The 25,430-nt window shown below is 47.0% G+C and overlaps 1 protein-coding gene across 25 annotated transcripts in view, besides 2 other annotated features; it reads left to right on the plus strand.

Annotated features, from left to right (window-relative positions):
* CAMTA1 (calmodulin binding transcription activator 1) overlaps positions 1–25,430 on the plus strand; it is a 984,253-nt gene that overhangs the window by 275,544 nt on the left and 683,279 nt on the right. The gene's annotated exons all lie outside the window — the stretch shown is intronic.
* Positions 9,568–9,687: an enhancer, noted in NCBI's record as "active region_89". NCBI's record gives its function as "activates an Ori minimal core promoter by ATAC-STARR-seq in GM12878 lymphoblastoid cells {active_cell/tissue: GM12878}" and the evidence as "EXISTENCE:reporter gene assay evidence [ECO:0000049][PMID:35858748]".
* Positions 21,502–21,672: a silencer, noted in NCBI's record as "fragment chr1:7142559-7142729 (GRCh37/hg19 assembly coordinates)". NCBI's record gives its function as "represses an EF-1alpha promoter that drives an FKBP-Casp9 reporter gene in an ReSE screen in phorbol 12-myristate 13-acetate-treated (for megakaryocytic differentiation) K562 erythroleukemia cells {active_cell/tissue: K562(+PMA)}" and the evidence as "EXISTENCE:reporter gene assay evidence [ECO:0000049][PMID:32094911]".

Consider the following 25,430-nt stretch of genomic DNA (forward strand, 5'->3'; position numbering starts at 1 on the left):
TATTCCCTCTCAATTTATTTTCAGGTCAGAGCTTCATGAGGTCGCTGAAGCTGTGAAATCTGACAGACTCACCATCTGAGCAAACAGACTGTCCAGGAACAGGTTTTATTTGGCTCGCTGAGGAGATGTGACAGTCTGGGAAAATCCTCGGTCTCTGTATTTTGTCTTTGCCCAAAAGAGTTTGGTTCGGTTTGACAAATGTTAACCAAGCTCCCCCCTCCACGCCAGGGGCGATGCCAGGCACTGAGACCCGGTCCTGCCCGGAGCAGAGCAGAGCCGCTCACCCTTGAGGGGTGCCCTGTACAACTCCACAAATACGTGTCCACCGTCCTGCTGGTCGCCAGCGCGCACAGTTGCTAATCCGTTGAAATACCTCTGTGGCTGCTGGCGAGCGGGTGTCACCCGAGCTTCCAGTGCCCATGCTGCGCTGGCCTGCATCATTCTGAGTAGCGGCGTCTGTGCCAGACCAGTTGTTAAACATTCTGAATGTCACACCTGGTGGAGGGTGTGTGGATGAGAGGGGCTCGGTTGAGTACCAAGTGTTGGGGAAGGCCTTTTGGAGAGGTCAAGACCAGGCCAGATTTTGAGCAGGAGCTCAGCAGACAGGCCAGGGAGGAACAGGCAGATATTCACTGTCAGCGGCGGAAACCAGCTGTGCAAAGGCCCTGAGGCAGGGAGAGCAGGGTGGGTTTGGTGGGGTGGTGGCGGCAGAGGAGGGGGTGGGGTGGCGGGGAGAAGGGGCAGTGCCAGGGTGGAGAGAGAGGCTGGAGTAGGGGCAGTGGCAGCAGAGCAGGGGGTGGCGCTGGCAGAGGAGGGAGCTGGGAAGAAGAGCAGGACTCCCTTGGGGCTGGTGTTTGGTGCCAAAGGCCATGAAGAGTGAGCAGAGGGCTTTAATTTGACGGTGTATGAGGTCCTATTATATTAAATTTTATTTTTTTGAGACCGAGTTTTGTTCTTTCATCCAGGCTGGAGTGAAGTGGCACGATTTTGGCTCACTGCAACCTCCGCCTACCGGGTTCAAGTGATTCTCCTGCCTCAGCCTCCCGAGTAGCTGGGATTATAGGCGCCCGCCACCACGCACGGCTAATTTTTGTATTTTTAGTAGAGACGGGGTTTTGCCATGTTGACCAGGCTGGTCTCGAACTCCTGACCTCAGGCGATCCACCCGCCATGGCCTCCCAAAGTGCTGGGATTACAGACGTGAGTCACCGCCCCCGGCGGTCCCATTATATTTTTAAAGTATATATATTGATTTATATTCCACCTTTGTCTAGAATGGGTTTAGATTCCTGAGACATAGATAATATTGTGTCATGAGTTATATATTTAGGGTAAATTATAAGGAAACATAGATTACAGTCAGCTAATGTAAAAGTTTTTAGTGTAAAAAGTGAGCAAGAAGAAGATAGAATGAGGCAGGATCAAAACACAGAATGAGTGACAGGGAATGGGCTGCCCAGCCCGGGGGTGAGTCTCGAGCGGCCGGTGCCAAGAAGGTTGCACAATGGCTGGGCGCCGGGGAGAGGTGTGGAGAAAGGGGCTGAGGGCTTACACGGACAGGCACAGGCTCCACCGAGCAGCCGCGCTAAGGAGCTGTGGGGTGGGGAGCCGTGGGCCCGGGTGTGGGGGCTGCAGAAGACGGAGGGTTGCAGGGCGTTCGTTTACTGCCGTCTGCCTCAGCCATGAAGTCCCATAAATTGGGTGGCTTTACCCAACAGAAATGCACCCTCTCATAGTTCCCGAGGCCCGACCTCCAAGTCCAGGTACCGGCAGGGCCAGGCTTCCGCTGGGGCTCCAGGCGGATCCTTCCTCGCCCCTCCTAGCGTCTGCTATTCACTGCCTGCAGCTGCTTCACTCCCGTCCCTGCTCCATCTTCACGCGGCCTCCCCCAACCTGTGCGTCTCTGTTTTCACGTGGCCTTCTTGCAGAGACGTCAATCACATTGGATTGGGGCCCATCCTACTCCGTTATGACTTCATCTTAACTAGATGACATCGCAAAGCTCCTATTTCCAAATAAGGGCACATGCGTGGGTACAGGGGTTAGGACTTCAACATATCTTTTTGGGGAACACGGATTCATTTTTCTCACTTCCCTAACAAAATATAAACTGCAGGAGGCAGAAAACGTCGCCGACTTACTCACCATTGTGTTCCCAGCATCTCTGGCAGGATGCTGATCGGATAACCAGTGCCCGAAAAAATGTGGTTGTTGAATTTGCTCCCACTTTCTTCACCCCCTAACATCAGGTCAAATCCGGCCTAGAATTCCTAGTGGAAAGACAGGGACGACTCTTCCGCAACACCTCTCAGACCCGTCAGTGTGCTGAGGCGCAGCTTCCCAGAGGGAGGTGTCATCTGCAGCGCTTTGCTTACCCGTTTGACCACGACACCACCGCACCTCCCTGCCCTTTATCTTAGCAGGGCATCTCTGGAGAGAATGTTCCACGGAGCACACCTCGGGAAACACTAGTTTAGCTGCATTGCAGATTGGAGGCAGGGGCAGACTACCTTCTAGACAGAACTTTCCAACTCTTGAAAGATTTCTTCTGAAGAATTATGGCTATATCTCCTCCCCTGTAGCCTCCCCTGCTCTGCCCTCTGCTTTTGGTCTTAAAGCTATTTTAGATCTGAAATACCTTCCCTGGACCTACCATTTGCATTTGGACTTAGATTATTAGACATTTTCTTCTTATAAAAATCAGCAAGTTGTACCTACAAAGTGGGAGCAAATTCAACAACCACACTTTTTCAGGCACTGGTTGTGCGATTAGCATCCTGCCAGGGATGCTGGGAACACAGTGGTGAATAAGTTGGGGACATTTTCTGCCTCCTGAAGTTCATATTTTGTTGGGGGAGAGAGAAAAATAAATTCATGTACTAGTCTGCTCAGGCTGCTGTAACAAAATACCATAGACTGGGTGGCTTTAACAGAAGACATTGATTTCTAACAGTTCTGGAGGCTGGGAAGTCCAAGATTAAGGCACTGGCAGATTCGATTCCTGATGATGGCTCTGGCCTGGCTGCCAGGTGGCTGCCTTCTCATATGGTGGGAGCCTTTGCCTTCACCTTCTCCTCCTCCTCCTCCTCCTTCTTCTCCTCCTTCTCTCCTTCCCTCCTCCTCCTTCTTCTTCTCCTCCTCCTCCTTCTCTTCTTCCCTCCTCCTCCTCTTCCTTCTTCTTCTCCTCCTCCTCCTCTTCTTTCTCCCCTTTCCTCCTGCTCCTCCTCCTGCTCCTTCCTCTTGTTCTTGTTCTTTTCTTCCTCTTGTTCTCTCTCTCTCACTCTCTCCCTCCCTCCCTCTCTCCTTATGAAGCCATTAATATAATCATGAGGACACCTACCTTCATGACTTGTCTCATATTAATTAGCTTCTGAAGATCTCACCTCCAAATACCATAGCATTGGGGGTTGGGGCTTCAACCTATTAATTTTGGGGAAATACAATTCAGTCCATAGCAGTCAGTAAATAGATAAAGCGAATTTCCCTGGTGGGAAGTGCTGCAGAGGAAGAAGTGCTGGGAGGAGGGTGATGGTTGGGGAGGGAGGGGGTAGTCCCTGAGGAGGCAGCAGTTTAAGCTGAGATGGGAAGGAAGAGAGGAAGGTGGCCAGTGGAGGGCCAGGAAAGGAGGATTTTGGGTGAAGAGAACGGCTACAGCAAACAGATGGGAAAGACTGAAGCATGTCCCGGGACTGAAGGAAGTGGGGGCTGGAGTCCAGAGATTGCAGAGCATGCTGGTACTGGAGGGTGGGGGAGGTGGCAGGAGTCCCATTCGGGGCATGGTGGGGGCTGTAGGAGGACAGAGGAGTCCATGGATGTATTCTGAGGTCCTGTTGGTCTAGGAGCTGGTTGGGTGACTCCTGCTGCCATCTAGGCAAGACATGGCAGCCACTTAGATGAGGATCTGGGAGGGGAGAAGAAGAGAAGAGGACAGCTTGGGGATGTCCCTCAGAGTTAGAACCAACAGAGTTTGTAGGTTTTCAGCTTCAGTACCTAGGTCACCAGCAGTGTCATCTACCGAGAAGGCAAAGCCTGGGGAAAAACAGGTTTGAGGAGGCAAATAAAAAAATCTCTGTTGCACACGTTACATGTGGGATGCTCTTTATACAGCCAAATGGGGAGGCCACATAGGCTAGCAGATCCTGGGCCAGGAGCTCCCAGAAGGACCTAGGCTTGAGACCTGAGTTTGTAAGTCATCAACAACATCTGGCAGGGCTCAGGCACTTAGAGGGCAGGGGAAGGAGGAGGAGATGGTGATGGGGCAGAGGAGAAGGGGGAACCAGTTGTTGCAGGAAGATGGACAGCCCATGAGGTTTCCCAGAGGGCCTGGCCACTGAGAAGCTGAGATAAGAGAATGGCGTCATTGGATTTGGTGACCTAGAGGTTCAGAGTGGCCAGCGGGAAGTTTTGTAGTGAATATAGAGGAGACGAAAAAGAATGGGGATGGGAATGGAGGAAGGAGAGAGGGCTGGAGGAAGAAAGGAAGAGAAACTAATTTTGACTGGGCAACTATGCAGAAGAAAGCCCGCTTTAGGAGTGAGGTCCTGGAGGAGGGGACAGGAGATGGGATCCAGGGCGCAGCTGGAGGGATTCTACCTGGAGCAGGTGGGGGTGCTTATTTCATGGCCATAGGAGGGAAGAGAGAGGAGACAGCTGCACCTTGTTGGAGTCCATGTCAGCTGATTGGAAGAATCCAGAAAAGGGAGATGGGTCCGTGGATAGGTGGAAGCCCTAGGTCAAAATATCTGACTGCAGAAAAGACCAGTCAGGGAAATAATGATTTTTCTTTCAACCTGGTAAAATAGTTTTCTTCTGTCAAAGAGCAAGTGGCCTTTAAGGCATGTTTATCTATTCCCTTACATTGTGAAAGAGTAAAGCAGTCTTAAGACTGGGTGTGAAATGGAGAAGAACGCAGCACTGGCTTAAACTTGACTGTGCCATTGGCGCTTGCTGGCAGCAGCTGAGCCTCAGGCACCCTGAGCAAGCACAAGGCGGAGAAATGAGACCTGCTGGTGCTTACACCAGAACTGACTGGCAACTGGGAGGGGCTGAGCCTGGGATCTGGGGCCACTTGAGCTTGACCTCATACCTGTTTATGTCCTAATTGCTTGCTTCCAGTTCAGCCCCTCTTCTCTGAGACCATCCTCTCCGAGGGGTCTTTTCTCTCTGGCCCTTTGATGCTCTACAAATCGTCTCCTTTCTAGTGGTTCCCTCTTCTTCTCCCAGGGCAACAGCATCACAGGGGCATCCCTGGCTCCTGGGGCTGTAGCTGTTGGCCTTGGCCCATGCTTAGGGCCTTCCCACCCTCAGTGTCTCATCTCAGGTGGGCTGGCTATGCACCACCCCGGGATCTACAGTGTGGGACAAGGCACACACACTTTTGATTGATAAACAGGGTGTGTCATTTAAAGAAGTTGAGACAGATTTTTCTGGTCCCTGGTCAACACTGACTTAGAAAGATCTAAGAAAATCTATAGATCAGATTTTACTGCTTTCAAGATAAACGTGCTTACATTTTCGACACAGAGCATCAGTAACCTCTGAAAATGAAATGCTTCCCCTCTTTCCCATGTTCTGGATGGATTTGGTAGAACTTGCATCAGGCTGCAAAGTGCATGAAGTTGAAGCTGACTCCTTGCTTAAAGAGAAAACCTTAAATATTAAATGTCCATTTGTCTGTTAAGTAAACAGTTGCATTCTTTCAGAAGTCCTGATGCTAACAACATCTGCGACACGGGACGGTCAGCTTCCCAAATGGCTGTGTTAGCCCCATGTTCAGGGCCTGGACTTTTCCTGAATAATAGGTAAAGCCAAGGGAAGGAAAGTTTTACTTCCTTTCTGGGCTAAATTGTCATCTGGGAAGCATCATAGGCTCAGTTTAGAGGAACATGGCATTGTCCTTTACCCAGGTGACTGTATTTGCTATTTTACATTGGCTTGATTAGATCAAGGCAGGACATTTGTTATCGCTGACTCTCAGCCTGGAAGCAGCATCTAATATGTAAGCAGTTGACTCCTGCTGGATGGGCACATAAACTGGGTGTCATGTTATTAAGATGTGGTGAAAGGTAGACACCTTCCCTGTGCTTGGAATGCCCCAGTCCCCACACGGGGCACCCCCTTACCCATAGCACTGTCTCATCAGAAGTTGGCTGGAGTGTTGGGAATTGGAAGGGCAGGGAGGTTGTTGGTAGGGCTGGTAAATCTATGGCATGGAAAAGGTGGAAGAGTTATCTCTGCTTCCTAGGGACGAAGGCCTCTCCCGGGGCTGGGAAGTTCCTGTCCCTTGTACTCAGGGTCTCTCTTCCCTGGACAGTGCTAGACAAATAGGACTCCTTTAACTCCTTAGGAAGTTCCCTGTCTTTAAGCATTGTCTTTCTTTAAACAGGCTTCAATGCAACCAATTAGGTTCTTACTTGCTGAATTCTTCTTCTTCTTCTTCTGCTTCTCTGAGATCTGAGGGGGATTTGAATGATCTTGACTCTGTTCCCAACCAGCCTCTTGGTTTAATTCCAGGATTCATTCATTCAACAAATATTTGAGTATCTGCTGCATGCTGGGAACCATGTTCCTTGCAAGGCATACGGCAAAGAACAAGGTAGATAAGTTCCTCGCATTTATTGTGTGTCTATTTGTCTATTTTAACCCAGAACATCTTCTGAGAGGATCAGTTTTACCAGGCAAGGGCAACTTTTGATGGTTTCCCCAATAGCATTCCCGTCTTATTTCTTGCCGACAGGACCTTGACTGTGTTCAGGTGTCAGTGGCCAAATTCTTGGGGAGATGCCAGGGCCCTCTCCAGTCCCAGGGGATAAACCTAGATCCGTCTAAGCCCATCATGGTCAGTGATTGGTTTAGGGGCGGCCTGTAACTCAGTTATTGCCAGTGAGATGGCTAGGCACTTCTAGGACAATTTCCTGGCTCTTAAAAAAGGGTGTATGATTTCTGTCTTCTGGACTTTGGAAAATGTGATGGTTATGGGAGGCCGCTATGGTCACCTTGCAGCCATGTGGGTCCAGCCCAAGGTCATAGCATGGTTGAGCCGAGAGAAGGAACCCAGCTGACATCAACCCTACCTCCAGACTTCTTGTGACATGAGATGGTACATTTTCCTTCTTCTTTAAGGTAATTTAGGTTGGATTTTCTGTAATTTTGCAGCCCAAAATATCCTACTTGAAAGCAAAAGACATCTGCCCTCGTATTCATGCAGCGGTGTGGTCGCTTTAGCCTTTCTCCAGGCTCATTGTGTTGTGCTCAGTTTTGTACACAAGTACGTTCTTTTCTAAATGGCAAGACGCTTAAGATGCTTGGATTTCCTCTTCCACCGCCTCTCTCCAGCACAGCACTGAGCTTAATATCTTGTATGTCGTGGGATATCAATAAACGCTTATTGAGTTGAATTTGAGTTTTACGGACATGAGTTTAAATTTGGTGACTACCCACGGGCTTCTGAGAAATTATTGAAAGCCAATCTATGGCCCAAAGAGAGGACGGCCTGATCAAGGCATGTGCTGTTGGGCCAGGCAGACCACGATGGGGATGAACGTGCCCTGTGTGAGGTGCCAGAGAAAATCCATCATGCATCCCGAGCTCTGTTTTTTATTGAAAAATCCATTTATAAATAATCTGGACAAATAAAGTAAAAGGCACTTTATTGGGATTCAGAAAAATTCATGGCTACTGAACATCCGGCCAATTCAGCTCCCAGCTCCCAATTAGCCTGCCAGGGCCTCTCTCAGTGGCAGGGGCCCTGCCAGCCACTCGAAAGGCTGCCCTGGGACTATGAGTCATTTTCTTATTTCTTAGCATGCTGGGCGTGAAAATCTTCTTTCTCTTTCTTATTACATGCTAGCACTTACCGGGTGCTTTGGCCAAGCAGATATATCAGCATGTTTTTGTGCAGATAATTGACAGTGGAGCAGGAAGACACTCTCCTCTAAGTTGCTCCCTCTCTTTGTTCACTCGCTTGCTCGAGAACCCAGGGACGGTGGGAGGAATGGCCAAGCTGGACGCAGGCCTGGCCTCCGCAGAGCTGGCGAGCAGGAAAGGCAAGTTTCAGACACCTCCTGCCATGCCCTTGACCCTGCTGGGCCCCCGGTATCCTAGGAGTGTTTTCCCATTTCCGGCCATGTCTTTATTTTATGATTGTTCCCTTAACCCAAAGGCAACTGGGAAAGATTGTCATCCTTCACCACGAAGAGGCCGTTGTCATTTAGTGAGTACCTACTGCATGCCACATGCTATGCAGAAGGTGGTTGTTGCTTCGTCTCACCTAGCCCTCCCAGAGACCCTCCAAGGACAAATATGAGACTCAGAGATGTTAACTGACTTGCCCAGGGTCACACAGCTTGTAAGTGGTGGAACCAGAATTAGAAAATGCAATTCCTTTTTTTGGAGCCTCACCTCCTTCCATCGGGATCACAGTGATCATATTTTCCAAACTGAAAATGGGATGCAGGGGGCCTGGCACGGGGCAACGGGGCAATCAGTAGTTGCTGGGAGAATAAACACACGAATTGAGCCAAGGGTCAGCCAACGGGACAGGTCTTTTGTCAGCGGACCGTTTGGGCCATCTGGTCCCAGGGACCACAGGGTCTGTCTGCCTCTCCGTAGGGTGGGCTGTGGGTAGTGGGGTGCCCGTGAGGGGAGAGGAACAAGAGAGCCTGGACAGCAGGCTCTGGGGGTGCTGTGGCCTCTGAGAGTGGAGTGGGAACAGGGGACTGGCAGAGGAGCTGGTAGCGAGGGCTTGTGTGTGGCTGCTAACTGGATCCATTTGCCAAATCAGCAAAGTTTGGAGCTGAGACTCCAGACTTACCCTGGGCCTAACTTGGGAAAATATTACGCAGTACAAAATAAAATTAAACAGTATTAACCACAGGCCCAAATTGCACCTATATTTTAAAAAGCATTGTGCAGCTGAGACTTATAAAGCCCGGCACCAGCGTGAGGCCATCTTGGTTAATGAGAGCTCTGCGCCTGCTACTCCTTGCCGCGGCCTCTGGTTCACGTCCTCTCGCCCTCCTCCGCTGGGGATGTGCGGGGCCTCCGGTGAGCCGCAGCTCCCTCGGAAGGATGCACCCTTTGCTCTCTGGAGCAGGACGGGCTTTTCTGAGAGGCGGGGCCCGAAGTGTCCGGAGCCGCCAGCCTCAGGGGCTGCACTGGCCTCTCCTTTCCTCTGCCCACACAGAGAACAGCAGCATCAGATGGGGGCGGGCTCAAAAGGGCTTCATAGGCGCCCCGACATCGCAGCTACGGAGGGGCCAGAAAGGAGGCGTGGATATTGTACTGCACTTTCTGGACTTTCACGGGAATTCATGAAGGAGCCTGAATATGCAGCAGCCACATCTGGGTTTATTTCAGCTTGGACACTAATTCATGTTGGGTCCCGTAGTAAATCATTTTTCATTCAGTTACTTGTTTTTCCTCACTTGAAAAATGGGCGTGATACTGGTGGTCGCTGTTGTCTTCCCGCAGCGATAGAATGAGGCTCTGCAGTGATTTCTTTTCCTTCCAAAGTCGAAAGCTCCTCTGGCTTTGCACAACCTTTTGAGCACGACCTTCTCTCTCATCACGGTGATGCCTGTTGCCCCCTAGTGGTCACCAGCAAAGGGAGTGGTTGAGCCGACGATCCCAGGTTGCAACTCAGACCCAGGCCTGGCCCTGAACCCAGGTCTTCCTGCTGGTTCCGAGGCATCTCTGGGCAGGGTGGGTTATAGGGAGGGGACCAGAGAGGGAGTCCTCCCAGTCGCCTCCACCAGGCAGCCCTCCAGCTTGTCAAACTGTCGCCAGCAGTGTTTTCTCAGCATGGAGATTGTGTGTGAGTGTTAAGTCTAGAAAAATCACTCAGGCAAGGCAAAGACTTGCTTTGGTGCAGGGGACTGGAAAGCAGATGTGCTTTTTCTGGCTCTGAACACTGAGGGGAAGTGAGCTTTGGAAGAGAGGCGCTGACTTGGTGTGTGTTTTGGGGCAAGAGGAAGTTTAAAGAGGGACAGTCTGAGCTTGCTCTTTGCAGGGGCTTGCTTGGAGGCCCACAGGCTGGCTGAGCATGAGAGAGAGTGTGCCAGTCAGAGCCCGCAGACTGATGGCTTGCTTAGGAGTATGGACTGGAGCGAGCCTCCCCCTCCTCCTCCTCTCCTCAAACAAGGTCATCAGTGACAAATGCACAGGAGATGGTAAAGGTGGATTGGGGAGGATTTGGACGTGTTTCTTCTGACCTTGATGGGGCCATGTCCCCTCTATTTGTAATCTTGAGCTAGAACAACTGACAAATGGCCTGATAGGTGACAAAAGCAAACAATAGACTCACTTGAAAGATACAGTGAATAGAATTTAATTGAATTTTTTTTGGTACAGACATTGATTTCACCCTGTAAGATGTATGGAGTAAATCATTAGGGGAATTAATATACATTAAAATGTAGTTTATTATCATGAAACTTTTATTGTGCTTGTAGTTGTGTTTTTAATTATTATTTTAATGACTTTCTATATTTCAAATCGTGATAAATCTATTTTTTAAAAATAAACGGACTATAGTTTTACAAGGTGATGTGTAGTGCAGAGCTGTTGATGAATATTGCTCCTTCATTAATGAGAACCAACAGATTAGAAAGACTAAAAATGGACCGATTTACGCACTTTTTAAAAAGCCAATTAATATCTAACCATTAAACACAAATGTTATAGATTAGTCTCACTATCTTATCTACTCTCTGGGCTCCTATTGGATCATTCAGAGATTGACTCTTTAAACCAAGTAAGTGAAGGAGGCTCTAAAAGTGGAAATGCCTGGGACCAATTAAAACAAAGGATTTGGGCCATAATGTGCTGAAAATACCCGTGTCCTCCTGCCTGGGGGGCCATTATCCAAATGAGCAAAGAGGACGGAGGTGTTTGTCCAAGCTGTCTTTGAGGGATGAAGCAGAGGTTGGCTCTGCTGGTAGGATCAGGGTTTTGGGTGATTTCCCCAGTGGTGAAGATGGACTCGTACTGGCTTTTCTGCATTGCATCTCCTGAGCCTTCTTGGAATCAAGGGCAAATGCTTGTTCTGTGCTTTGTGGGGCTTTGTGGGTACCCCGCTCTACATGGAAATCAGCCCTATGACCACTCTCAATGCTGACCTATCCCAGCTGAGCTGAACGACACGTGGTTTTACTGTCATGGCAATATGTCCTCAGTTTTCCAATTCAAACATCTTATTTCAGATACTTGGTTCCATTAGCCACATGGGGGCTTATACCATCTTCCTCCCTGGCTGTGTGCTGGTTGGCTATTTCTGACTTTTGAGGTTGTCAGGCAACATGTCTGGGCAGCCAGAGGCAGGGGAGTATGGATGCGAGGTGTGTGGGCTCCGGAGGCACGCATCCCAAATCTGAAACCTGGCACCAGCATTTATTGTGCGACCTTGAACAGATTTACTTGCTCATTCATTCATTTATCCATTCATTTCTTCATTCAATATTTATGAAATCTGGGTGCTGTTCTAGGGATTGGAGATATAGCAGTGATCAAAATGGAGAAAAATCTCTGCATTCCAGTGAGGACTAGAGAAAGGCATTCAACAAATAGTATAGCAAGATGCAGAGTACACTGCAGAACGTCAGGCAGGACTATCGACTGTGGAGAAAAAAGAAAGTGGGGTGGAGGGCCAGGCAGTGTGTCAGGGGATGTTGCTATTTCACAGGGTGGTTAGGGAGGCCTTACCCAGAAGGGACCATTTGAGCTGTGACCCAGAGGAAGTGAGGGAGTGAACCGAGTAGGATTCTGAGGGAAGAGTTTCTTCTAGGCACAAGGGATGCAGGTGCAGAAGCCCTGGGGCAGGAGCCTGCTGTCTGTTCAGGGAGTAGCAAGGGGACTGTGTGGCTGAGTGGAAGGAGTAGATCAGAGGAATCCTGGGGCCAGATCATGCAGGACAGATAGGTCATTGGGAGGACCTTGGCTTTGAGTCTGGGTGAGATGGGCACTCCTTTAAAGGGTCCCCCTGACTAGTGTGAAGAAGCAAGAGTGTAGGCAGGGAGATCCAAAAGGCAGATGCAGTCATCTAGATGGGAGGAGGTGCTGGTAGCTTGAACCAAGGCGGCAGCAATTAAGATGGGAGAAGTGTTGGATTTTGGCCATATTTTGAAGGTAGAGTGAACAGATTTGCTTCTAATGTTTCCAAAGGAAAGGGGACAAGGATCAGTCTCAGATGTCTGGCCAGAGTCACTGGCAGGGTGGTGCTGTCATCTACTGAGGTGGGGGGAAGCTACAGAAAGAAGGGGTGTGAGTGTGGGTGTGATGGTAGGTTCATGTGTGAAGCATGTAAAGTTTAAGATCCTAGAAGATATTTGGATGGAATTGTTTAATAGGCAGCTGGATATAGGAGCCTGGAGTTCAGAGGGAGAAGTTTAGGCTGAAAACATAAATTTTGGGGTAGTCAGTGCAGAGATGACGTTTAAAGTTCTGAGTCTGGGTGAGATGACTGGGGAGGGAGTGGAGATGGTGAACAAGGCCCAGGGGAGATTTGGGGCAATCTGATGTTTAGAGGACAGGGGGATGAGGAAGAACCAGCAAAGGAAACTGAGAAGCAACAGCCAGAGAAAGCAGAAGGTCAAGAGAGAGTGAGCTTGTTAGAGGCTAAGTGAAGATGACGTTTCAATGAGGAGAGAGGGTTATCAAAAGATGCTGGTAGGGCAAGTAAAATTAAGATTAAGAATTTGCCATGGGCTTTGGCAATGTGGAAATCATTGATGACCTTGACAACAGTTGTCTTGATGGAATAGTGGAGGTAAAAATCTGATAGGAATGGGCTTGGGAGAGAATGGAAGGAGAGAACTTGGAGGCAGGCAATATAAACACTCTGCAAAGGAAGTTTGCTTTGAAGGGGAGTATAAGGATGGAATAGTAACGTTTCTTAACTCTTAAAATTCTATTTCCTGATCTGTAAAATGGAGACAAAGACAACACCTCTATCACAGAGTTACCAGGAAGATTAAATGAGATGTTATTGGAAACTCAGTGCTCAACACATAGTAAGGGCTTAAAAGGTTTGCTGGTACTGACTGCTGCCTGTCTGATTGAGGAGTGGGCAGGAGGATCTGCCCTGGTGTTTCTGTGTCCTGGGTTTTTGAAGGTAATCTCTGTTACTTTACCCTCCTGGGGTTGGAAGTCAATCACAAGTTTGGGTAAATTCCCCATTTTGGCAGTTGTGAAATGACAGAAAGATCAGAAAGTCAGAAATCCCACACTCCTGCTAAGTGGTGGCTTATCTGTATGGCTGTGCAAATGAAGCACGCTGCTTCCCTCATTCCTGTATTCAGTTTTATTGCTTGTCTTGCAAAATGGCACATTTCAAGATTAAAGCCATTTTGACTTTGAGTTACTGTCTTTGAAGTATAGGATTTCCTAATTATAAAAACACATACTAATTGTAGAAAAATAGGAAAATAGAAGAAAATATGCAGAAAAGAAATTTATCTAAGGCCTCCTACCCAAATCCAACTGCTGTTAATGTTTTAGTGAATTTGCTTCCAATACTTTTATGAACTCTTTAAAAACATATTTGAGATAATACTGTTATATAGTGTTGTATCTTGCTTTTTCTCCTCAATGTTGTTAGTGTAAGCATTAAGTTCTTCATTAATGTTTTTAATGGCTATGTGCCAGGGAATCTTTACATTTTCCATCTCAACTTATATCCAAGTGAAATGGTAGGAATAGTTAACCCTTTTATAGCATTCACTGGATTCCAGGCCCTGTTTTAAGTACTTTACATAAATTAGCTCATTTAATTCTCATAACTACCTTCTCACATAGGAACGATCATTATTCCCAGTTTACAGTTAGAGCCTTTAACACACATTAAAGCCTTTCATTGGGTGTGAGGACCAAGGATGAAGGGACAGACACCCTTTAGCAGACAGTGTTGCCTTCCATGTGAGGGCTCTGGTGAGCTGGCATGCAGTCATGTTCTTCTTGAAACCCCTGTGGAGCTGGAAGTAGAGCTGGAGACATGCCTCCTACTTCAACTTTTCAGGAAAAATATCCAAACAGTTTTGGTAACTGTTAAGTGAAAACAATAACAACCTATTCCCAGCTCTCCCTTCACAATCTCTTTGTGGTTCTTATTCTGTATTTCTCTTGATTTACATCTTGTGTTCTCTCCTACCGCTGATTCTTGGTCACAACTTTGGTCATAATTCCTGCAAAAAGTGGTCGGGAGTCTTCAGTGTCCAAGGGTAGAAAGAAGAAACTGGGCCCTAGAGCAATGGTTTGCCAAAGCTATGTCCTTAGCAAGTCGTCAGAAATGTTAGTTCATGTTATAACCCAGAACACATATACATATATTCATTTATGATGATAATATCTGGACAGAAGTTTCAGGAAACAATGTTACCTATGGTGCACTTTGATACTTTCCACTCCACTCCGTTCCATTTGATTAAAACAATACCAATTTCCACTTTAAATTGGTTTCAGGACTCACTGGTTACCACAAACTGCAGAAGTCAAATTGCTGCCCTGGAGCACAGCGTTGGTTCAGCACCAAGGACAGCAGCCCATCGCTCCCTTCCCGGCCCTGTGCTCTTCCTTCCCTGCTGTCACATTTTGGTTCCTTATTCTGACTTCTCCAGCCTGTGTTGACCTGGCTCTTCTTTGACTTCCCGTGGTGCACTTTCAATCTCAGTGATTTTTTTTTTTTTTTTTTGAGACGGAGTCTTGCTCTGTCATCCAGGCTGGAGTGCAGTGGCACTCTCTCTGCTTACTGAAACCTCCACCTCCGGAGTTCAAGTGATTCTTGTGCCTCAGCCTTCCGAGTAGTTGGGATTACAGGTGTGTGCCACCACGCCCGGCTAATTTTTGTATTTTTAGTAGAGACGGGGTTTCGTCATGTTGGCCAGGCTGGTCTTGAACTCCTGATCTCAGGCGATCCACACACCTCGGCCTCCCAAAGTGCTGGGATTATAGGTGTAAACCACCACGCCCGGCCCAATCTCAGTGATTTTAGACCCTAACTTAGGTGCCTGGTCTTCGTAGATCATAAGCTTATTGGAGAGAAGACCTAGGTTTTCACTATGGCTTATGTTCCCTTTAATGCTTGACCCAGATCTCCAGGGAATTAGTGGAACTTTAAAGATGAGGATAAGGATAATGCATCAGGGTTCCTCTCCTGGGAGTGTTGCTGGCTGCAGATCTGCTGGGACTGACTTTGTAGACTGTCATCACGTTGGACAAGAAGGGCCTCGTTTTATTGGAACCTCTTTCTTTTTCACAGGACTGGAAAAAAAATTTAGTCCTCCTCCTCTTGCTATTGCTCTGTTGTAACCCTTTGAAAAGCAAGCTCCCTTTTTATGGCTTTGACATTATTGCATCGCTGAATCACAAGGTTTTCAGGAAGATATATTTGATTGTGTTTTTTCCCTGCAGCCCATGCTGCTCTTCAGGTGACACAATATGAGCTTTTGCGCTCCTTATCTTTCATCTTACTCCTTGATAACATTAACGAGCAAGAGAAGAGGAATAAGATATCTCTTCTTTTCTTTCTAATAAAATCTGAGGTTCTAAGGATAGGGCCCATCTGGTTAAAGGGAAGACTGATATAGACTTATCAGTGGTCAGTTTTTTTGACACATCCACCAATTTTAGTTTGAACTAAGTCCTCACGTGGACCCAGGCTCATGTCTTTGGGAATGGGGCACTGGCGTGATTGATTAATAATATGTGAGTGTTGGAGCCCAGTCCCATTCTGCTTTCCCAAGCAGTGGCAACATAGCAGCGGGTCTTCTGAGTCATGTGTCAGCTAGGAGGGCTGTGTTCATGCATATGTTAAGGTCTTCTGAGACCGACCTCTACTCCTCTTCAAAGCAGGGTAGAACAATTACCTCTGTAAAATTCATGAATTCTCCTCCTGTTTACTCTTCAATTCCAAATGCTCAAAGCTGGGTTGCTTGTTTGTCATGTGGGATTCATGATCACAGGTGTTAGCAAATAAAGGTGGTGACTAATCTGAACTTGTCTTATGAAGGCAGGTTATGAAATTCAAACACTATTGAAATCCAAACACCTTTCATCTATTAATGGCCACCAGTGGCCTATAATCAAGTCACACTCTGTTAGCTACACAATTACCTTGTTTGTTTGAAGTGTGAATTAAGGATTTGAGGCATTTGCTAATGAATCTTACTTGCTCCCTACTTTGGCTGAAATCCCTGTGTTTTCCAAATGCAGGCAGTTCTGGAATTTAAGGAAAGGTTTTTTTTTTTTTTTTTTTTGGATCCTATTTTCTCCCTGTATGAAAGAAGCTTCTGTTTTGCTTTTGCACAGATGGAAAGAAGCAGGCTCTCACACCCTCCTTTCCCACTGGACTCTGCCTTGATTTCATTCTCAGTTTTGTAACTCGTGGAAAGTGCCTCCCCGTTGCTGCAGTTCTAATGGCTCTCTCTGCTTGAGTGTTGTACCCCTTGTATGGGAGCAGAGGGGAGTGGTGGAGTCTCCCCGTTTGCCAGCCTCCTTTGATTCTCTCTTTGTGACTCTTCTCTGGAACGAGTTTCTTTTGTAGATAATGGGATTCCATTATGGGTGTTAGGGCTTCTCTGGAGCTGTCAGCTGTGAGGGAAGATAGGAGGTTTTGATCAATGGTTTCTGCTTGTATCTTGGATGTGTTAATTTTAAGATGGCTGGCTTCTGTTTTTATTAGTTTTATTGGGTTTGTGTTGGGGGAAGGGTTAGGATGAGCATCGGTGTTTTTCTGCAAGGAAACGTGGTTGCTCGGAGTTAGGTGGCTCTGCTGTACTTGGAGGCTGGAAGGGCCTGGAGCGAGGCAAAATGCCCACTTCTGCTGTGTTCCTGTAGGCACCAGAGCTGTTGTCTGCTACCATGAAAGCCTTTTCTGACTTCTTTGAATGACTTACGACCCATTTCCAAAGGGCTGTATTGGTTAATGTTCTAAAGCAGAGGTGTTAGTGGAGCTTTTCAGCATTGTGGGTGGGGTTATTTATGGGTGGGAAGAGCTTGCGTGCACACACACACACACACATACACACACTCTGATATAAATTCCTGATTTATTTAGCCATGGATTCAGAATTTATCTCAAAGGGACGTGGCTACACAAAGACCAAGTGGATGCAGCATATTTTTGCATAGCTTATCCCTTGTCCTTAGTTCTTAATGGGAGTTGGCAGTGTGTGGCTGTCAGTGACACTTTCTACGCACATAGAATCCTGCCAAGGTTGAAGAAGAAGCCAAATTCTTGCAACACTACTTCTGTTTTATATTCAGGTTTATATCACTGTTCTGGAAGGACTTATAACAACAATCTGTGCTCTTTTAGGCTCTTCTGATTCTTGAACTGAACCTTCAGATCAGCAAGTCTGCATCTTCATCTGGGGGTAGAGGTGAAGGAGGGTTGGTGTTAAGGAAGGCAGAATCGGTATTGAGTCGTCTTCAGACACTCTCTCTCCCTCTCACTTTTTGTTATTTGAGAAAATCTGTATCTCTACGGGCTTACGATAGCCTGTCTCTGAGACAACAATGACACCCTCAAAGTTTTAACCCTGTTTCTTTAGGCTGGCTATGTCCTTCATTGAAAGATTGCTGACCTCTCAAAGAATAAAATAAAAGTCTAAAAATTTATGATGAGACTTTTGCCACTGGCTGTGATGGAATAACTAGGACTAGATTCATCCTCTTGCTACAAACAATGATAAAACTGGATAAAACCTGTGAAATAAATATTTTCAGCTATTAGATGATCGTCAGAGTAGGACTGTGGTTGCTAAGAGAAGACTGTAAACCATACAATCACTTTGTATTTCTGCATGGAGGCATTTCAAGACTGTATCTTCAGGGAGGTATTCCAAGAAGAGTACAGTGATCTTGTTGAGCTGAGGAGACAGATATCAGAGTTTGGAGAGGTTGATACATCTAGAATTTGCAGGGCAGAATATCATACAGGAGAAGGCCTGGCAAAGAAAGTGCTCTAGAAACTTTTATGGCTCTCCTGGGATGTTCTGTTGACTACTAAACCATTGATGAGTGAGGTGAAACCCCACAAAACTGGACAAAGTGCACATAGGGGCTATAAAATTCACAGAGCTCATACAGGACTCGGAGGTATTTGCATTCTGACCAGCCCGACTGGGGAGCTGTCCTTGAATATTTGGGACATTCAGTAGAGACTCCGGAAGGAAGAAGCAATAATAGTAGGGTAACAACATTTCTGGAGTAAAACGTGCTGTAGACCCACCTTTACAGAGATTAAAAATAAGCCTTGAGAGGGTCAGGCTGATCCACAAGTAACTTAAATAACTGCCAGAGTAAAGCCTAAAGCCTAATGCTCTTTAGTTAAAGATATAATTGCTGACAGTTTTCCAAACTTGACAAAAGCTATAAACTCACTGACCTGAGAAGCTCAACACACCCCAAGCAAGGTAAATACAAAGAAACCACAGAATGGCACACACAGTATGATCAGATTTCTTCAAATTAGTGATAAAGATTTTTTTTTTCTTTTTTAAAGACAGAATCTCACTCTGTCATCCAGGCTGGAGTGCAGTGGTCAGTCTTGGCTCACTGCAACCTCCACCTCCCAGGTTCAAGCGATTCTTGTGCCTCAGCCTCCCAAGTAGCTGGAATTACAGGCACACACCATCACGCCTGGCTAATTTTTTTTTTTTTTAAGTAGAAATGGGTTTCACCATGTTGGCCAGGTTGGTCTCAAACTCCTAACCTCAAGCGATCCTCCCACCTCGGCCTCCCAAAGTGCTGGAATTACAGGCATGAGCCACAGTGCCCAGCAAGAAAAAATCTTAAACTCAGCTAGAAGAGGGGAAAAAGACAAATTATAGACAAAGATAAGAATTTTTGCAGACTTCTCATCAGAAATCATGCAAGCTAGAAGACAATGGAATGGGATCTCTTGAGTGCCGAAAGGGGGAACAGTCTGTCAGTGTAAAATTCCGTATAGAGTAAATTATCCTTACATGGTCCTGGAAATTGTTTTACATCTTGAATATGGTGATAGATACATAATACATTTATGTGTTAACATCTACTGGACTTTACATTTAAAATGGGGTACATTTTATTGTATGTAAATTATATCTCCATGATGCTGATTGAAAATAGGTTTTAATCCCTGAAATATGGGATAACACAATTGTAGTAAATGAAGTAATACCTATAGATTCATGGCACACATTAGAGGAAACTGAGGCACAGAGCTATCATGTGACTTCCCCCAAATCATACAACCAAAGGGAGATGGATTAACTTTTTCTATTCTAAAAGAAATGTTTTTTTAATCTCTCAAAATAGGTGGATTCAGGTCTTCTCACAAACTAAAAGGTAGGACATATATTCCTCCAGTGCCTTTCAAACTATGATCTGGCTGGCATCTAGGAAACTTGCTATAAAGACCTCAATACGGCAATTTGATATCTCCTCCCAAATACATGCTGCTTCTCTTTCAGGTATTTTTTCATTCTCCCTCTACCTTTTAGTGTGTTTTCTAGGATTACACATCAGTGAGATTGTAAACATCTTCAGCACTGTGGATTTATTATTATTATTATTATTTGAGACAGAGTTTTGCTCTGTCACTCAGGCTGGAGTGTAATGGCACGATCTTGGCTCACTGCAACCTCTGCCTTCCAGGTTCAAGCGATTCTCCTGCCTCAGCCTCCCAAATAGCTGGGATTACAGGTGACCACCACCATGCCAGGCTAATTTTTGTATTTTTAATAGAGATGGGGTTTCACCATGTTGGCCAGGCTGGTGGATTATTCTTATATCAGTCAGGATCCTCTCAGGAGACAGAAGCATGTTTGGTTATTTGAACAGAAAATTTAATATATAAAGACTTTCTAGCTAGTAGAAGGGTGGTTGATTACTAATGGAGATAAAAGAGAATTCTAAGTGTTTCCAAAATATCAGGGGTAAAGCAGCAGCTGCTATCTCTAGGCTGAGGAAAAGCAGACAACAAATCAAATAAGGACTAGAAGACCCTTCCTGACATTGGCCAAAATTCAGACCTCTTCAAAGAGTGCATGGCTACCAAAGGAACAAGCTGCCTGCCAAAGGGCCTGGGCTGGAAGTGGTCTGTAGAAGTGGCTCATTGTCACTTGCGGATGTCAATTAGAACAGAGCTGGTCTAAAGCAGCCTGCCAGTGGAGGGACTGTCTCCTGAGGGTACAGCTGGAGCTCATCTTCATGGCCACTGGACTCCACTCTGAATAATAGTGATGATTATAATAATAATGATGATGGTAAGAGGTCTGCAAGGGATGTGTCTTTGCCACTGTCATCTTGCAGGTTCACGTCGTTGCTGTCTATTGACGAAGCTTCACATTCTGCTATGCCAGCAAAGGAGAAATATGTACAGGGTCCAGCTTCAGTATCACAAAGAAGGACAAAGAAGGGTGAAATTGGAACTCAGAGATAATAATAAACTGACGACTGGAACAATATCAAAATAGAAGTTGGGGCAGTCTTGGATCTGGCTTCATCAGTACATGTCACTGTATTAAGGGGCAATGAGTGTTCTGGTTAGCATTGCACTGTTTTAAAATCTATTTCTTTCTGGATTGCCTATATTGGTTCATGGTCTTACAGTGCACCCAGTTTCCAATGCCATAAATATCAGAGTAGGGGCCCCAAGGTCAAGGGCCTACAAATCCAAGCCGGCCATGACAGTGGAGAAAGCCAGCAGGTTGAGGTGGTGGTCCTCTGGAGCTCTCAGGCCCATCCAAATGGACAGCAGCTTCTCAGCGCCAAGCAGTGGTTGCTGTGCAGCATGTGGGCCTGGGGTTGCCAGACTTTATTTTTCAAGAGAAGCTGGAAATCCCTGACCTTCAATCTTTAAACATTGGCAGATAAGCCAAATGGGAAGAAGACTGTGTGGACCAAGCAGGCACATCTCTGGGTGGAGTCAGTCCTTGGGCCGCCAATTTGTGACCTTTGCTTCTGAGATGTCCTCACTGCCTCTCATTTCCCCAGCCATTTGGTTTCAAGCCCCATTTACCTTGCTTTTGAAAACATTCAGCTTTGTTCCATTTTCCCCACTCCCATGGCCTTAGTGCAGGATCCTATTGCCTCTATCCTGGGCTGTAATCATGGTCTCCAATCAGCGGCCTCTTCTCTACCAGGCCACCACCAGAGTGATGTTTCTAAAAAGCACAGCTAGCCAGCCGTGGTGGCTCAGGCCTGTAACCCCAGCACTTTGGGAGGCTGAGGTGGGTGGATCTCTTGAGGTCAGGAGTTTGAGGCCAGCCTGACAAACATGGTGAAACCCCATCTCTACTAAAAATACAAAAATTAGCTGGACATTGTGGTAGGTACCTGTAATCCCAGCTACTCAGGAGGCTGAAGCAGGAGAATCTCTTGAACCTATGAGGCAGAGGTTGCAGTGAGCCAAGATCATGCCGCTGCCTTCCAGCCCAGGTGACGGAGCAAGACTGCATCTCGAAATAGATAGATAGATAGATAGATAGATAGATAGATAGATAGATAGATAGATAGCACAGCTCTTTGTGTGGCTCCCATCTACTTAAAAGCCTTCCCCTGGTTCTTCGGGATAAAACTCCATTGCCTGGCATTGAATTCCTCCACAGTTTGGTGCCTCCCCCTCCACCTGGCTTTGAGTTCTGCCTTTCTATTCCTTGTCCTGCGGACTCTCATTACTTTATATTACTCAGATTTCCCTGAACACATTTGCTACTCCCATTTTCCTGCTTTCACTTATGCTCTTTCCCTTCCCTGATACCTTGACCACTTGTCTGCTGGGCAACCTACTCACTCGTCAAGACCCAGTTGAAATGTTAGCTCCTTGACACAACCCTTCCTTCTCTTCTCAGTATGGACACATCGTCCGTGCTGCTAATTTGGCACTCCTTGTCTGTTTTGCACTTGAATGTGATAGCCCTGGATCCTGCACCCCATCTGTCTTCCCAGCTGTATTTCCCAGGGCCGTTACTCATGTGTCTTTGTATTGTTAGGGCCTTTCATAGTGCCTGGCATATTGTAGGTGCTCAATAATTCATCGAATGGTTGAACCAATGAGTAGATAAATGAATGAAAGACCGGGTGAATTGCTTCTTTACTGACTCTGGCTGTGGATGTTTCTGTGGTGGCTCATTGTTTCTTCACTGATTGGTAATTTGATAGTCATAAGAATGCTTTACTATGTCTCAATAACAGACAGCCAGTGGGGCCAGGCTTCATTTCAGAAGTCCAGGCTGTTAGGAATTTATTCTGAATTGCTAGTTACCATTTTGTAGACAGTCCTCCAGACACCCTTGGATCCTTACAGTCTTAACCACTGCCACTTTCATAAACTGTCAGAGTAGAGCTACGTTGCATTCCATGCAAATAAAAAAAATATAACCCATTTTTCTATATGCTAACAGTTGATGGCAAGAGTTGGTCATTTTGAAAGCAAGATTGGGGATGTTGGTTTAGACCTGTGGGTGGGGGGTCCGGGATATCCTGTGCAGGGTGTTGGCTTGGCCAGCTGGGTGCTTGGGAAGTACATCAGTGGACAGGGACAGGAATGTTCAGACGGGAGCCCTGCCCTGTTGGACCTGGGTTGGACTATTTATCATGGGGGAGGGCCCGTCGGCTTCATGCACAGGTGCCCTGGAGAAAGCCGGTGGGGAAGATGCCACTGGGAGAGGGCAGGGCCTGGTTATTTATTTATTTAAATTAAGGCCAATTATTTTTTGTCAAGTGCAGCGAGTGGTGGATTCTGGGAAAACTTGCTTTCACCGTAAACATATTGGTTAGAAGTCATTAATATGACATTCACACATCCCTAATAAAGTACATAACACAGAGATCTGGCACCACTGAAATACCCAGAGGACATTAAGTATGAGTCTTAAAACCAAGAGGATTGGAAACAAGATATTTTTACTTCTCGTTTGGGAGTAATATAATTGCATTTTGTGGCTCTAGCAGATGCTGGGGCCAGCTGCTAGGGGAGCCTTGGCTTTTTTTTTTTCCCTTTATTCCCCCTCCTCAGCTTTGGTCCCTTACAGATAAAACCCTTATGCAGAACTCTCATAAAAACCAAGCTTTAAGAAATTATACTTTGGTTGAAAATCCATGTTTCTATGTGCAAAATATATCTGAGACTGTATAGACTATAGAGAGATTTTTATTAGTTGAACTCAGGAGATATTTGTATAAATACATATATATATATAAATATATGTACACACATATATACATTTGTTGTTTTTTGTTTAATTTGTTACAGTGAGCACTAAAGACCTTTCTCCCTCCCTGACATTGAGCCTGTATCTTGAAGACAGATGGAGGACGGACTGTCTGAGAGACCTATGGGGGACTCTGCTTTTTCTAAGGGCTGCTCCAGGGGAAGCTGTGGGAGGGGAGGCTGATCTCTCTGGGCTGGACCCTTCTATGGGGTTGAGACAAAGCACAGCCTGCAGTGCATAGCTCCTTCTGGGGAGGGAGTGGGGGCAGCAGAGAGAGCCGGGGCTGAGAAGTTGAGGTGAATCCAGCCCCTCTGAGAATTGCGTAGCCCTCCCTGCACAGACGGGAGCCTCCCCACACACTGGAGGGGACACGGCTCGTCACCTCAGAGGTGGACCGAGGGGGGCAGGGGGCCCTGCTCTCCTTGAAGCGTGTGCTATGGAACAGCTTCCTTCACATGTGGGACGCGGAGGGTGCAGCGGGGTGGCTGCCGTTGGCTCCAGGAGGCATATGTGTTTGCGGGTTCCTGTGATGTCTGCATCTAGAGCTGGCCATCCAGTACGGCGGCCATGTGTGGCATCAAGCACCTGAGACACGGCTGAGCCCAGCTAGAGGGGCTGGCTGTCCGTGGGAAACACACAGGGACTTAGTAGGGAAAAGAGTATGAGATAGCTTGTGACTACTTTTTAAAAAATTAGTAAAATCATACTCTCTTGGATATATTGGGTTAAAGTATAAAATATTATTAAATTTTCTTCTCTTTTACCTTTTAAAATGTAGCTTCTAGAAATTTTAAAAATCTTTTTATATTTTACTTTTAAGTTCTGAGATCCATGTGCAGAACGTGCAGGTTTGTTACGTAGGTATACATGTGCCATGGTGGCTTGCTGCACCCATCAACCCGTCATCTAGGATTTAAGCCCTGCATGCATTAGGTATTGCTTCTAGAAATTTTAAAATGACACACGTGCCTTGTGTTGTGGCTCAGGTTCTATTTCCATTGGACAGTGCAACTCTGGCACTCACAGATTGGCCAGAGCTGCCTCCTGAATGAGGGGCACTTAGAGGAACAGTGCTGTGTGACCTCTCACGTAGGGCCCGAGCCTCGATGGCAACTGGACCTTTGTGCATGGGAGCCTCAGGCATGGGCTCTTGAGGTGACATCCTTTGGAAGAGAACTTCACAATCTCTCCTTCAGCTCTGCTGTGTCAGCAGTCATCTTCAGACACAGGAACTGTACGGGGCTCTACAGTGACAGACGGACTGAGACACACACCCTCCCTGAAGACTGAAAAACCAGGAAGGGAGAACCACCACCCACATAGAGCTAGCAAGAGAAAGTCTGAGCAGTGCAGCCATTGCTGAGAACGTTCCAGAAGCTGCAGTGCACTGTGGAGGGAGACAGCAAGGGAGACTCCCCTGGGAGGGGCTGGGCGATGAACAGGACCTGACAGGTTATGTGGGCAGAGCTGGCACATGGGCGCTGAGGCGTGAAGGGCAGGAGTCAGGTTGGCACAGCAATGCATGCTCACCTGCCAGCCCCCATGGGGCAGCCTCTGCCGTGACCCTCCAGCCCTGCTGGCTCCCAGCTGGCTGGCTCCTGACATGGGCTTTGCAGTCCTCTATCAAAACCCATCAGCTTGGGGACTGGATGGTGGGTGACCATTGCCTCTGGGTGGTGGAGATGGATGCATGGCAGCACGGTGTGTGACCAGGCAGTGACACCAGGTGCAGCATCGCAGTCCCCAGTCCTGCCCAGGCCTCCCTTCCTGATGTGTCTTGTTTGGGGCCTTGGGGAAGGGCCCACCTGCCTCCCTGGTCTGCAGGCACCAAACTGTATCTGCTGAACAGATACAGAGGGGCCTGTCTGGGACCCTGCCAGTTTGTTCTCCAAAGCCCCTGCAGCACATAGACGCCATACCTTGGCGGCCGTTTTTCTACTTGAACGTCCAAAGGACAAACTAAACATTTAAAATCTGCAAGCTGGACAGTCTTTGCTTTGGAGCCTGCAGCAAATTTCTTCATCTTGACAGTCGAGTCATTCTTCTCAGCATCGATGTGGTATTTAGGATCCGGGAGGAGGAGGAAGCTAAGGGAGCCAGGGCACTGGGGAGGCCGCCGGGCACGCACACACGTGGTCCTTAGGGCTCAGGGGCTGTCTGCGTGGGTTGGATGGCTGGAATTTCCTTCCCCCTAATGCCACATCTGGCTGGATGTTGATGCCTCCTTCTTCTTTTTAT

This window comes from Homo sapiens, chromosome 1 (genome assembly GCF_000001405.40).
Source record: "Homo sapiens chromosome 1, GRCh38.p14 Primary Assembly".
In the NCBI taxonomy this organism is placed as follows: Eukaryota; Metazoa; Chordata; class Mammalia; order Primates; family Hominidae; genus Homo; species Homo sapiens.